This window comes from Homo sapiens, chromosome 6 (assembly GCF_000001405.40).
Source record: "Homo sapiens chromosome 6, GRCh38.p14 Primary Assembly".
NCBI classification, from domain to species: domain Eukaryota; kingdom Metazoa; phylum Chordata; class Mammalia; order Primates; family Hominidae; genus Homo; species Homo sapiens.
Genome location: NC_000006.12, coordinates 43,972,461 through 43,985,609, shown reverse-complemented (window position 1 = coordinate 43,985,609; position 13,149 = coordinate 43,972,461). Strand labels below are relative to the sequence as shown.

The window sequence follows — 13,149 nt, the reverse complement described above, 5'->3', positions numbered from 1 at the left end:
ACTATCTCAGCAAATAACAATAGGCTTTGTGACCAGGCAGGCTCTGCAAATGCTGGTAGGCTCTGCAAACACTGACAGACTCTATATTTGTTGACAGATCCACAATGGCAATAGAGGTGAGGGGAAAACACTGGTGCAGAGGCGCTAAGGGAATTTTCCACTCACCTTAGAAGCCAAGGCAGGTGCTTGGTTCCCATCAGTGGCTCTGCCTTCATGAGAGAGTCCTGGAGGTGGGTAGCCTAGCCCTCTTCCCTCCTCTCGCAGCTCTCTCCAGTGCCTTCTCTGCCTGGTGGGGTGGCCTCCCCCTTAGCAGGCCACAGAGGTGCCAGGGCAGAAGACTATGATGGGGGAGTCCACAGAGAATCCCATGGGGAGCAAGCATGGGGTGGGGGCAGGTGAGGATCCCCCAGGAGATGGGAGTCTGGCCAGCTGGGGAATGGGGCGGTTCTGGTTGCAGGTGGCCATGAGGCAGGCTGGAAGCTTCGCCTGCCCCAGCCCATGGGCCTTTCTGAGCTCCAGAAAGTCTCAGTGCTTGTTTCTCAGCCTTGGGAGTAGAGGAGGGAGTGGTGGGAGCAGCAAACTTTTCCGAATGGAAAATGATGAAATCTTCCTGGAAAGCCGACTTTCCCAAGCTCTGGTGGATACAGCTGATGAGGAGAAACCTGAGCCCTGTGGGCAGGCGGGGGGTCCAGTGGCAGGGGATCGGAGGCGCCTGTCTATGACACAGTCCTGGGAAGCCACCCCAGAGCCGTGGAGGGCGTGCTGCCCATGTCCAGCCCTGGCGGGGCGGGGGAGTGGGCAGTTACACTTCAGCCAGTGGCCCCAGACAGTCTACGCTCAGCTCTGCAGTGAGAATGAAAACAAAGTTTCTCTTCTGCCTCAGCTCCCATATCCCTCTGGGTGAAGGGAGAGTCCTAAGTGTGGCCTGCAAGTCCCCAGCAATCCCACCCTACCACCAGTCTAGCCCTCGCTCACTCTGCTCCAGCCTCCTATTCCTCAGATGTACTGGGCACGCTCCTGCCTCAGGGCCTTTGTGCTACCTGTTCCCTCTGCCTGGATGCTTTTCCTTCAGATAGCCATATGCGTCACCCCCTCACTTCCTTGAGGTCATTATTTGAATATCACCTTCTCAGTGAGGTCTTTCCTAACCATCCTATTGAATGCTCGGCCTGCCTTCCCAATCCCACCACAGGGCCCCTCTTCTGTATTACCCTGCTTTATTTTTCTCCAAATCTCTAATATGTTTGCAGTGGGTTGGATGGTGGTCCCCCAAAATGTCCATGTTCTAACCCCTAGAACCCGTGCATATGGCCACAGTGAGTTGAATAGTGTCTCCCTCCAAACTTCATGTTCACCAGGAACCTCACAATGTGACCTTATTTGGAAATAGTGTCTTTGCGGATATAATTAAGTATCTCAAGATGAGGCTCTCTTGATTTAGAGTGGGCCCTAAGTCCAATTACTAATGTCCTTATGAGAAGAGGAGACACAGAGAGACAGAGGGAAGAAGGCCACCTGAACATGGAGGCAGAGATAGCAGTGATGCTCAGATGCGTGCCCTCCGGAACTGTGAGAGAACACATTTCTGTTGGTCGTAAGCCACCAAGTGGGTGATTTGTTATGGCAGCCACAAGACTCCGTAATTTACTGATTTATTTAGTTTATTGTCTACAGACACACTCCCTCCCACCGTCTCATGAATCTGAGCTCCAAGAGGATAGGGTTTTTTTTTCTTTTGCTCACTTGATATATCCCCTGCGACGAACACAGTGCCTGTTATCTTACGGGTGCTGAGTAAATATTTGTCAAGTGGTTGAGTGAATAAATTAGATGAAAGCAGACAGGAGGGGTGGGTCCTCAGGGGACCGACTTGGCTGCCCAACATCTGGGCCTGCTGAATGCAGCTCAGTGTGGTGGGAACTTGGCACCTGTGCAGGAGATCACCTGGAAGAGGAGAGGAAGAGCTGGGGTCCCTTAGGACCAGCCTCCCCAGGACAGGTGGCCTCAGTTCATCTGTCACAGCCTTACCTGTGGACAGGTGAACATGGAGAGCTAAGTGGAGCCTGCCTTGCGTCCACATTCAGGCTCTGCTCAAGCCTTTGTGGGAAGGGCCTCTGCATGGAGGGGGCACCCTCTCCCCACATCCCATAGCCAAAGTCCCATCCCTAGATCAAGTTCAGATGCCTCAACAGTTGGTATGAAAAGGGACCTAATTCCTCCCCACCACCCTGTGCAGCTCCGATCCCAGCCCTTCCCACCCCCAGGCCAGGCCTCCAGGGTCACTGTGAGCAGAGGGACTCAGGAAGGTCATGGTTTGGGGGCTGAGGGCAGAGAGTCCCAGGGGCAGGAATGGGGACTTCATCCATCTCTAAGTTTCCAGGTCTGTGTCAGGCAATCTGGCTCTGTCCTGACTCTCCAGAGACTGATAAAGGTCCGAGGTGGGTGAGAGATGTCCACAGAGTCTTTGCTACTCCTACTGCCAAGAGTTGGTTTCTATTTTCCCTCTCCTTGATTCTGGCTTGGCCTTATGACTTGCTTTGACTGAAAAAAATGCAATGATGCTGTGCCAGTCCCAGGCTCAACCCTAGAGAGGCCTGACTGCCTTCCCTCCCTGTCTCCTCTTCCTCCAAGCCAGGCACCGTGCTGTAAGGAAGTCCAGGCTATTCTGCTGGAGAGAGAGACTCTGGAGGATCAGGCACTAAGAGGAGGCACACGGAAGCCGGTTGATGGCACGGAGGCTTCAGAGTTGCCATTGAGGCCACCCTGGACCTTCCAGCTGAATGCAGCTGATTAAGTGGCCTAATCCCAGGTTAGACTTGCAGAACAGCCAGGACTACCACCAGAATTGTGAGAAATTAAGCCATTATTGTTTTAAGGCACTATGTTTGGGAATAGTTTGTTTTGCAGCCATAGAAAACTTGGAGGGCTGTATCTCAGAGGTCTTGTGACTCCAACACTGTGGGATTTCTGAGAGCTTACCTAGAAGCTGGTTCCCCAGGGCGTATGGAGCAACACACATCTCAGACACTGTAGGCACAAGGTCTTGAGCTGCAGGGATTCACTGATTCTAGAATTTTGACACCCAGGGAGACCATGACCAGCCCCTTCTCAGCTGCTCTCCCCATCACCTCCCATCAGAAAGCTTTCCTCCAAACTTTCCAGCCTCCAACCAGTTTCCACTCTGGCTCAGGCTTGTAGAGCCTGGGCAGAGTGTAGGGGCAGAACCAGCAAGCTTTGTCTGGGGTGGCTGGCAGTCTCCTCTCTCTCCATGTGCCCCCCATCAAGGTCAGCTGGGTGAAGAGGCTGCTGGTGAAACATCCTGTTACAGATGCTGCCCAGAGATGTCAGAAGATGTCAAGGCCATGCAGGGCAGCCAGGCCTGGGCTGCAGGAGGCATAACAAGGGCGGCAGATGCTTGTGTCCTGCTCTGGAATGTTCTGGTGTTCAGCCTTTTGCAGAGGACAGAGAAGGCTATGAGGTATCAACACTGGAGAGGATAATGCTGATTCAAGCTCCATTGCAGAGGACAATGGCCTTTCCCAAGTTTGCTGGTTTGGTGTTTCTGTGGCCTGGGCTATCTTGAAGGGCTAGGGAGGCTGGACAGTGTAGGCTTGAGCCTGACCTCTTGATACCATATTCACCCTGCTGTTCTGGCAACTGGCCTGGGGGTTGTACAGGGGAGGGCCTTCTCACTGCGACCCATGTCCTCAGGGCAGGGCCTGGGCTGTGAGAGACGTGACCCTGGAGGTCCCTTTGGACCCCCAGGATCTCAGTTACAGGGTTTCCCAAGAACAAAAATGCCCGGCCTGCCCATGGGTGGTCACTCAGGCCCACCCAGGCTCCCTGGGTTACCTTTGCCCTGTGGGGACTAAGTCTCTTTGGCTCCTTCTGGGGGCTTCTGGGCCTTGGGACACTGCTGTGAATGTTGGAAACAGCTCTGACTTCCCTTGCAAGTGATCCTCCTGCCAATCCCTTCCCCACCCAGGAGCCCACCAGGGTGATCATGGCTGTGGGGAAGCCAGATATGGGCAGCTATGCCCCCAGGAGGTGTCTTGCACATATCCCTGTCTCCAGGGCAGGGGTGTCCTGGCTGAAAATCTCCCTTCCCTAATGCGGAGGGGAGAGTGTTTCATAGGTCACCAACTGCCCCTCAGGGCAACCCTTCTGGCTGGCCCCACCTGCCTGGAGCCAAATCCCCAAGTTCCAGCTCAGTGAGGAATTCTCCACACAACCTAACCAACTCACTGTCCCCTCTCCCATAAAGAAGAATAGAAACTTCTTCAGGTCTAGCTCTCCCAGCTCTGCTATCCTGGGGTTCTCTATAGGTACCTTGTTGCATCCTTCCTTCTTCCTCTCTCCCCTTGGGTAAGTTAAGGAACATCTCTGAGCCCCTATATCCTTGTCTATTAAATGGGATCGTAAGACCCACCTTGGAGGGCAGAGGGTTGTGAACTTTTTTTTTTTTAGAATCAGGGTCTTGCTCTATAGTGGTATGATCATAGATCATAGCTCACTGCAGCCTCAAACTTGGGCTCAAGTGATCCTCCTGCCTAAGCAAGTAGCTGAGACTGTAGGTACGCACCACCATGCCTGGCTAATTTTAATTTTTTTAGAGACAGGGTCTCACTATGTTGCCTAGGCTGGTCTCACACTCCTGGCCTTAAGCAGTCTTTCCATCTTGGCCTCCCAGAGTATGGGATTACAGGCGTGAACCACTCTCCTGGCCTTATAGTAAGGATTAAGTGAGGAGGTAGGAAGGAGGAATGGAGGGAGCATCCATCTAAGGGCCTGAGCAGAGGGAACTCACAGCTGAGAAAGGACCATACCTGCTAAGGCCTCAAGTGGTAGCTGCCCGTGTATCTGTTCTAAGCCTGCATCCCCATTCTGTGCCCATCTTGTGTCTGTTCCAGGCCTTGCATGTCTGTCCTCTGCACCTAACCTGTGGGCCCATGAGGCCCACACGTGTTTGGCCTGCACTTGCCATGCAGTGGGGAGGACACAGCATGAAGGCTGTGCTGACGACCCTGGGTAAACAACCTTTTTTACTGCAACATGAGCACAGATGGTTCTCCCTTGTACAGTGGACAATGGCTACCTTGTGTGAGTGAGAAGGAAAAGTGGGTACTTGTAATTGCTGATTTGGGCTGGGTCCCAAACAGGCTTGGAAAGGGCCAAGCAACAGGGGGCCTGGAAAGCCAGCGCCAATGTCTGGGGGTGGGTGGGCATGCAGGAGGGGGCTGGGGTGCAGCCCAGGAAAAAGTGGAGCTAAGACATTGAACAGGGAGAAAGTGGAGGAGCCCACATGCGCCGCTTGAGAAATGAACTGAGGCCGGCTGGGCAGGAAAGAAATGTGTGCGGAGAGAGGGCTCAGCAGGGCTGGGCGCAGGGAGGCTCTTCAGGGAGAGGTCTGGCTGCAGTTTCAGGCTGAGTGGCCTTTGCTTCATTCTGGCTCCCGGCCCCCTGGCTAGGGAAGCACTTAAGGAGAGAAGGCAGACTGGTCCTGAGGCTGGACAAAGCAGAGCAGAGCTCTGAAACCTTGCTAGGTACTTGGAATTTGCTGACTCCCACCATGACGTCCCACCTCCGAGCTTTCTCTGACTCTATGAAAATATTTTTCATACTCTGAAAAGCTGGCCCTGTAACACGCTGCTGATGCTGCTGATGGCTTGGTGAAGGCACAAAGAAAGGACCTTTACTGGACACTTTGGTCCAAATTTCTCTGTGCCCATCGCTTACTCTGACCTCTGCTTTAGAGGCCAGCTCCATGCAAGCTTCGTGGGCTCTGCAAAGGTGCAATTAAATGGCACTTTGCCTTGGCCTAGAACCTCCTACTTCCTGCCAGAGACTTCTCTGATGTCCTACGGGTGGACACCTGTGGAACTGCTTAGCGCTTAAGTAGTGCACACCAGAAGGGACTCCCCTGGAGTCACCTTTGTGCAATGGGGGATACAGGAGCCAAAGGATCCCTTTTTGCCCTTCTGGGTAGACTGTTTTGAAACACATTTCATAAGTCTCTTAAATAGATCTCTGTGGGGTCAACACCCATCACAGGGGTGGCCAACTAGATAACATATCCTTGTATTGGTTGACACCCTGTTCACTCTTTCCTCACCCTCATCTTTTGATCCTGTTCCTGGGATCACTTCCCAAATCAGCTTAGTTGCCCCTGAGACCAAAGCTCCCACAGGTTCCACTTTTAGGGGAAACTAGGCTAAGACAGAGGCCTCTGTTCTGAAAGAGTCCAATTTGGGGGTGCCAGGATGGGAGGTGAGTAGGAACTTGGGCTACAGAAGGAAGCTCTCTATCCTTCTATGATGAAAGCACAGGTCGCGGCTGGCTCCCTTCCTGCACAGAAACCCAAAATAGTGATGACCTGATATTTGCCTCACTGGCCTGCGCAGACTCTACCAGATGTGAGCACCTCCCCAGACCTTGACGCCTCAGGGTGTACCTCAAGGCTGGTGCTCCAAATAAGTAGCATATTTTACGCTGGTCCCTTGTGCAAGCACATCCTCTCACTCACAGGACCCACCCAGCCTTGCTCATTCCCTGATGCATAACTTCAGGAGCAGAGACTGGCCTCCTCCGATTCTTTCTGCAGGCAGTACAAGCTCAGAGACTGTTCTACTCGGGGCTCATGCAGGAGTGAGGAGCCCATGCAGACGCCCCCTGTGGACACCGCCACAGACAGGGCTTCTTAGACAGTCCTGCTTTCCTCTTCTGATGCTAGTGGGACAGCAGGGCTGCTGTGCGGGAAACTCTGCTCAGTTAGCTTACAGCCAGGACCCAGGGACACACAAGGGTGGGAAGCTAGATTGACCGGGGACTATAGCCTGAACCCACTACAGGTATAGCCATGCATCCTTCTGACCTTTGGGGTATGAGGAAACGCTGGTTCCCCCGTCCTTCATGACTTTCAGGCTGGCACTGAGTCATCAGCACCTCCTCCTTCTCCAGAAGCATCAATTTCTGGCAAGCCCAGCTTCTGGCTGGAGCCTAAGAGGAACCTTGGCCTTCAGCCTCATCATCTCCATTCTGAGTTCTTCCTACTCTTCTGTGTAACTTGCTCTACACACTCCCCACACTGACTGCCCCAATCCCTGTGCTTCTCTCAAGGTGTGCTGAGTGAATGAGAAGGAAGGAAAGAGAAGATAAGGATGGAGGGAAGGCCTGCCTGGGAGGTACGCGTGTGGGGCAGATATGGGCTAAAACCTTCGTAGAGCCACAGAAACCCAGGTGGGAGGACCTCAGAGATGAACAGGCTGAGCCCTCCCTGCTGCTGTGAGGCTCACTCATGCCCTTCCCAAGGCATCCATTTGCAGAGGCCTGGAGCAAGGGAAGCCCCTGGAATCCACCCTGGGTCTGTCTCCCTGTGAGACCTTTCCAGTTGTACCTCTGGAACTAATAGCTGACCCCCAAGGGTTTGAAGAAAGTGTCTATGGTGTGATGCTTTATTTTACATGTCCATTTGACTGGACTAAGAAGTACCTAGAAATCTGGTGAGGCATTATTCTTGGGTGTGTCTATGAGGGCGTTTCCAGAGGAGATTAACATGTGAGTCTGAGTGGACTAGGTGGGGAAGATCAGCCCTCAATGTGGGCCCTCCCATTCAACCCTGGGCAGGGTTCTCCCTGGCCACCCTCTTAGCCCCTTCCACCTTCTCACACCTTCTAACCAGATGTCACTTTCTCCACCCTCTTGTACTTTCTAACCAGATCTAACCAGATATCAACCTCTTATCTCACTAAGTGTGCATCCCCCCTCAGCTATGTGAGGAGACTTTGGCCCAAGAGGGATCAGGGACTCAATCAGGTCTCCCTCGAGGCCAGGCAGGGCAAGGACCAGCCTATGGCCGCGTTTCACTTCCCACTCTGCTAACTTGTCACCACACTCGCTGTCATCGCATGCTCTGCTGTGGTTTAGGCTGGGGGGCTTTCCAGAATAGCAGATTCCGAGTGCACAGTGACATGAGATATCTTTGGGACCAAAGTCCTGCCCATAACTGCGAATGAGCCATGCCTGTGGTCAGCACACTTCCTCAGAGCCAGTTCTCGATATTGAAACTTTAGTCCAGGAGGAGTTGTCTTGTGTGCTCTTGATGCTCCCCTGGTGGATGGCTGGGGTTTGTGGACCCGGATTTGGGTGTCTGGGGGAGACAACATTTGGATGGATCTGCTGAAAGCAGCAGTTTGGGGGTGAGTGCAGTTAAGGGCAGGCACCTAGCAAGAAGCTTTATTAGTCTTTTGGATCTTCTGTGGCAAAGAAACAAAATCCTTCCCCTTTAGTTTATTTAGGCAGAAATTGACTCTGAGAGGTAAATTACTGAACCAGGAGACTTACACAAGAACGTTCAGAGTAGCACTGTTCACAATAGCAAAAACCTGGAAACTGCCCAAATGCCCATGAGGAGCAGAGTGGATGGATGAGTTGTGGGGATGTGGTCACATAGTGAAACGTTACATAGCAGTCAAAATGAATGACATACTCCAACACAGAGCAATATGGATGAAGCTTGGCAACAGAAAATTGAGATGAAAAAGTCCCAATAGATTACGTACTGCATGATACCCTTTTTATAAAATTAAAAAACATTACAATTTAAAAAATAATTTTATGCCATTAAACTTCATAAAGCAAGGGAATGATGAACACAGGACTCATATGACAATTTCTGCAGATGGGGAATCGGGGGCAGGATGTGGGGCAGTGGTTAGATGTGGGTTATTGTCAAGGACTAGCTATTCTGGGTGGTGGGTTTAAGGGTGCTTATTGCATTAGTAAAACCAACTAACGAACCAACATAAATAAAAGTGGGCTGTGCATGTACCATTAATAAGACTGTCATAGACCAAGGATTCTGTAATCCTGATATCCAAACAAAGATAAAACAAAACAAAAGGCATAAACAAAAAGGCTCAAGCCCCCAAGAGGAGAAGGCATTGGGAGACAGATAAGTAGTTGAGAGCATAGCTCAGCAACCCAGGAGTTGTGTGAGTCCCAACTCTGGGTCCCTAGGAAAGGCTTCCATATTAATTTTCTATTGTTGTGTAACAAATTACCACAAGTTTGTTCTCTGCTCAGGGTCTTGCCAGGCTTAAGTCAAGGTGTTGGCTGGACTGTGATCTCATTTGAGGCTTGAGGTTCTCTCCCAAGTTCCTTGTGGGACTGAGGGCCTCAACTACTAGAGGATATTGCTGTTCTCTATCATGTGACCCTCTCCATAACATGGCAGTTAGCTTCTTCAAGGCCAATAGAAGAGCAGCTCTGCTGCTTTGAATCCCTCTGACTTTTCCACCTTGTGTCCTCCAGACTCTCATTTAAAAGGTCTGACCTGATTAGGTCAGACTGATCTGGGAAAATCTCCTTTGCGATAACTTCAGAGTCAACTGATTAGGGACCTTAATTACATCTACAAAACTCCTCCACCTTTGCTCTATAATGTGAACGAATCACGGGAATGATATCTCATCGTATTCATAGGTCCTTTTTCCACACTCAAGGGAGGGAATTTTATAGGGCATGTACACCAGGAGGCGAGAATCTTGAGGAACATTCTAGATATGTTCACTATACCTCCTTTCCAAGCCTCAGTTTTCTCCTCCATGAAGTAAGAAGTGTAATCTCTAACCTGATTGTGGGTAGATTAAATTAGATGACAAATGCAAAAGTGCTGTTATTCACTCAGAGATATTTAGTGAGGACCAACTGCATGCCAGGCAGGCCCTCTGGAAGCTCAGTAAATGCAGTGGTATGTAATACAGACATGGTCCCTGCCTCATGGGGCTGGTAGTCTAGTGGAGGAGACGAGTGTGATGTGCAGGATCTGTATGCTGAAAACTACAAAATGCTGTTGCAATAAATAATGAAGACCTAAACAAATGGAAAGGTATACCATATTTATGGACAGAAGATTCAACATAAAGATGTCAATTTCCCAAAGTGGACTATAGATTTAACACAATACCAATCAAAATCCCAGCAGGATTTTTTTGTTAGATATTAACAAGCAGATTCTAAAATATTGTGGAAGGACAGAGGAACTAGAATAGCTAAAACAATTTTGGGGAGAAAAAGAATAAAGTGTGAGGAATCATACTACCTAATCTCCTTTCTTCTTCTTCTTTTTTTTTTTTTTTGAGGGGGACAGTTGTTTTGTCTTTTGAAATGAGGTCTCTCTTATGTTTCTCAGGCTGGCCTCAAACTCCTGGGCTCAAGCAATCCTCTTGTTTCAGCCTCCTGAGTAGCTGGGATTACAGATGCACGCTACCTTGCCCAGTTTATGCTACCTAATTTTAAGACTTAGTTCAAAACTACAGTAGTCATCAAGAGAGTGTGAAATTTGCAAAAAGATGAATATACAGATCAGTAAAACAGAACAGAAGGTTCAGAAATTGATCTACACAAATATGAATAATATGTACAAAGGCAATTCAATGGAGAAAAAATAATCTTTTCAACAAATGAATTTGGAACAACTAGTCATCCATAAACAAAGAAAAACCTTTGACCTAAATACAAAGATTAACCCCAAATGAATCACAGATCAAAATGTAAAATGTAAACTATAAAATTGTTAGAAGACAACATATATGAAAATCTTTATGACCTGGGGCTGGGTGAAGAGCTCTAAAATGATACCAAGAGCATGATTCATCCATGAAGGAAATATTCATAAACCAAACTGCATCAAAATTAAAAACTTTTGCTCTGTCAAAGAAAGACACTGTCAAGAAAGTGAAGAGACAACGTACAGACTGGGAAAAAAATATTTGCAAACCACATATCTGACAAATTACTTGTATCCAGAATATACGAAGGACTCTCAAAACTCAAAAGCAAGAAAACAAGCCACCTCATTAAAAAAATGGGTAAAGGACTTGTACAGACACTTCACCAAAGAGGATATAAAAATGACAAACGAACACATGAAAAGATATTCAACATTACTAACACTCAGAGAAATGTGAATTGAATCCATGATGGGATACCTCTACATACCTGTTAGAATAGCACATTAAAAAATGTAAAACCAAGAGCTGACAAGAACACAGAGAAACTAGTACTCTCATACATTGCTGGTGGGAATGTAAAATGGTACAGATGCTTTGTAAAATGGTTCGTCACTTTCTTGTAAAGTTAAATCTTTGAGTATACACTTACCATGTGACCCAGTAATCCCCCTCCTAATGTAGTTACCCTAGAGCAATGAAAACATCTCTTCACATGAAAACCTGTACCTGAATGTTCATAGCAACTTTATTTGTAATAGCCAAAATCTGCAAACTGCTCAAATGTCCTTCAATGGGTTAATGGTTAACAATGAAATACCACTGATTAGTACAAAGGAACAATATTGATAAGTGCAACAATATTTGGATAAATGTCAAAGACTTTCATACTAAATGAGAGAAGCCAGTCAAGATGTCACACACTGTAATTTCATTTACTTGATACTCTCAAAAAGACAAAATTATGGTGATGGAAAACATATTAGTATTTGCCAGGACTATGGGTGGGGTGAGGATATAACTATAAAACAACAGCATGAGTGCGTTTTTAGGGGATGATGGAGTTTTCCCGTATCCTGATGATGGTGGAGGATACACACATCTGCACATGTTCAGATCCATAGAACCGTATACCAGAAGAAAAACAGTAAATTTTACTGTATGATAATTTAAAAAACCCAGTAGTGTGGACAGAAGTTCCGAGAGAGAGACGCTTGGCTCTTGGAGAACAGACTCATATTTCAGAGAGGTTATTCTTGTACTGTGAAAAAGTTAGCACCACGCATAGAACTTCATAAATGCTCAATAAATCAACAGTTACAATAAAGAGGTTAATAGATTCTGAACTCAGTGAGTCTAGAAAGTGATGTCGCCAAGAAACGAATCACTAGATTCTGCTGGGAAGTGGATTCCTGAAGTCAAAGCAGGGTGCCAGAAGATGCTCAAAGCTAGCTGGGAGGTAGAAATGCCCCCAGAGGGAGAGATAGCATGTGGCCCACAGGCCTAGGGAGCTAATTCCAGACCTTCTTCCATTGTCAGACCTTGCTCAGAGCTGCCCAGGAGGCTGAGTCTTCACGGGTGAAGGAGGAAGTGGTAGGCTCTGAAGGAGCTCTGTTCCCTCCTGCTCACCTCCCAGGTGGCCCATAGCCATGACCTACTTTTCCTACCTGTTGGTGCAGGTGAGTTCCCTTGCCCACAGCTATTTTTATCCAGCGGGATTCCCAGCTATTTTTACCAGCCTGGCCTTGACTGTGGGGTTGGGGTTCTTGCCCTATGGGAGACCCTGATGGACATTCCCTCCCCTCCCTCCCATCAAGAACCAATTGGTCTTCCCACAGCTGCTCCAGCCAGAGGAGATACCCTCAGAGATCTCTCCTGCTGCAAAACCTGCAAGGGCTCACCACTGTCTGCAGAATAAAGCTCCAACTCTTTTACTTGCACATTCAGAGCTCTCCCTGACTTGGAGGCCAGCTTCCCTTCAGCGTCATGTCTCTCCACAGCTGATGCTGGAGGAGCCAGCCAGCCCAGGCTCCTTGCCAGATGCCTACAAGGCCTCTCGATTTCCTGCTTGTGTGCATGCTGTCAGGAATGTCCTTTCCCTTTCCATTTCCACTGGGCAAAACTGAACCCATCCGCTGGGCCCAGCACTAATGCACCTCCCCCAAGGAACCCTCCTTCATTCCTCACCTGCTAGAGAACTATACTACCTAATTTTAAGACTTAGTATAAAACTACAGTAGTTCTGGGACCTCTCTGCTCCCTCTGCCTCAGAGGATGGCCAGCTAGGGATATGTTCTTGGCACCGGCTCTTGCCCATCTCTGGCCCTGCACCCTGCACAGGATGTATATGAGTAGAATGTTGTGGCCTCTCCTACATCTTCCAGGCTGCTTTCTTTCCCCAAGGCAGGGTGGAGTCCTCTGCCATCTTCAGGCTGCCAGACTCTCCACCTCCGTGAATCAGCAAACCTTTCCAGGGCCAGCAGTGGGCTCAGCACTTTTTTGAGTGCTTTTCGGAGCGTGTGAGGGAGGAAGTCAGAGAAGCCACACTTGGCATAAAGGAGCCAGGGCATGCAGACCTGAAGCTCCAGGGACTACTCATGTGGCAGGGTGTACCCAGGGACCCCAGAGGTGCTCTCTCACC

At 49.1% G+C, this 13,149-nt stretch overlaps 2 annotated features.

The window, feature by feature from the left end:
• Positions 61-656: an enhancer, noted in NCBI's record as "H3K4me1 hESC enhancer chr6:43952691-43953286 (GRCh37/hg19 assembly coordinates)". NCBI's record gives its function as "activates a minimal SCP1, AML or CMV promoter by ChIP-STARR-seq in naive H9 embryonic stem cells {active_cell/tissue: H9 hESC(naive)}" and the evidence as "EXISTENCE:reporter gene assay evidence [ECO:0000049][PMID:30033119]".
• Positions 7,814-8,073: an enhancer, noted in NCBI's record as "active region_24623". NCBI's record gives its function as "activates an Ori minimal core promoter by ATAC-STARR-seq in GM12878 lymphoblastoid cells {active_cell/tissue: GM12878}" and the evidence as "EXISTENCE:reporter gene assay evidence [ECO:0000049][PMID:35858748]".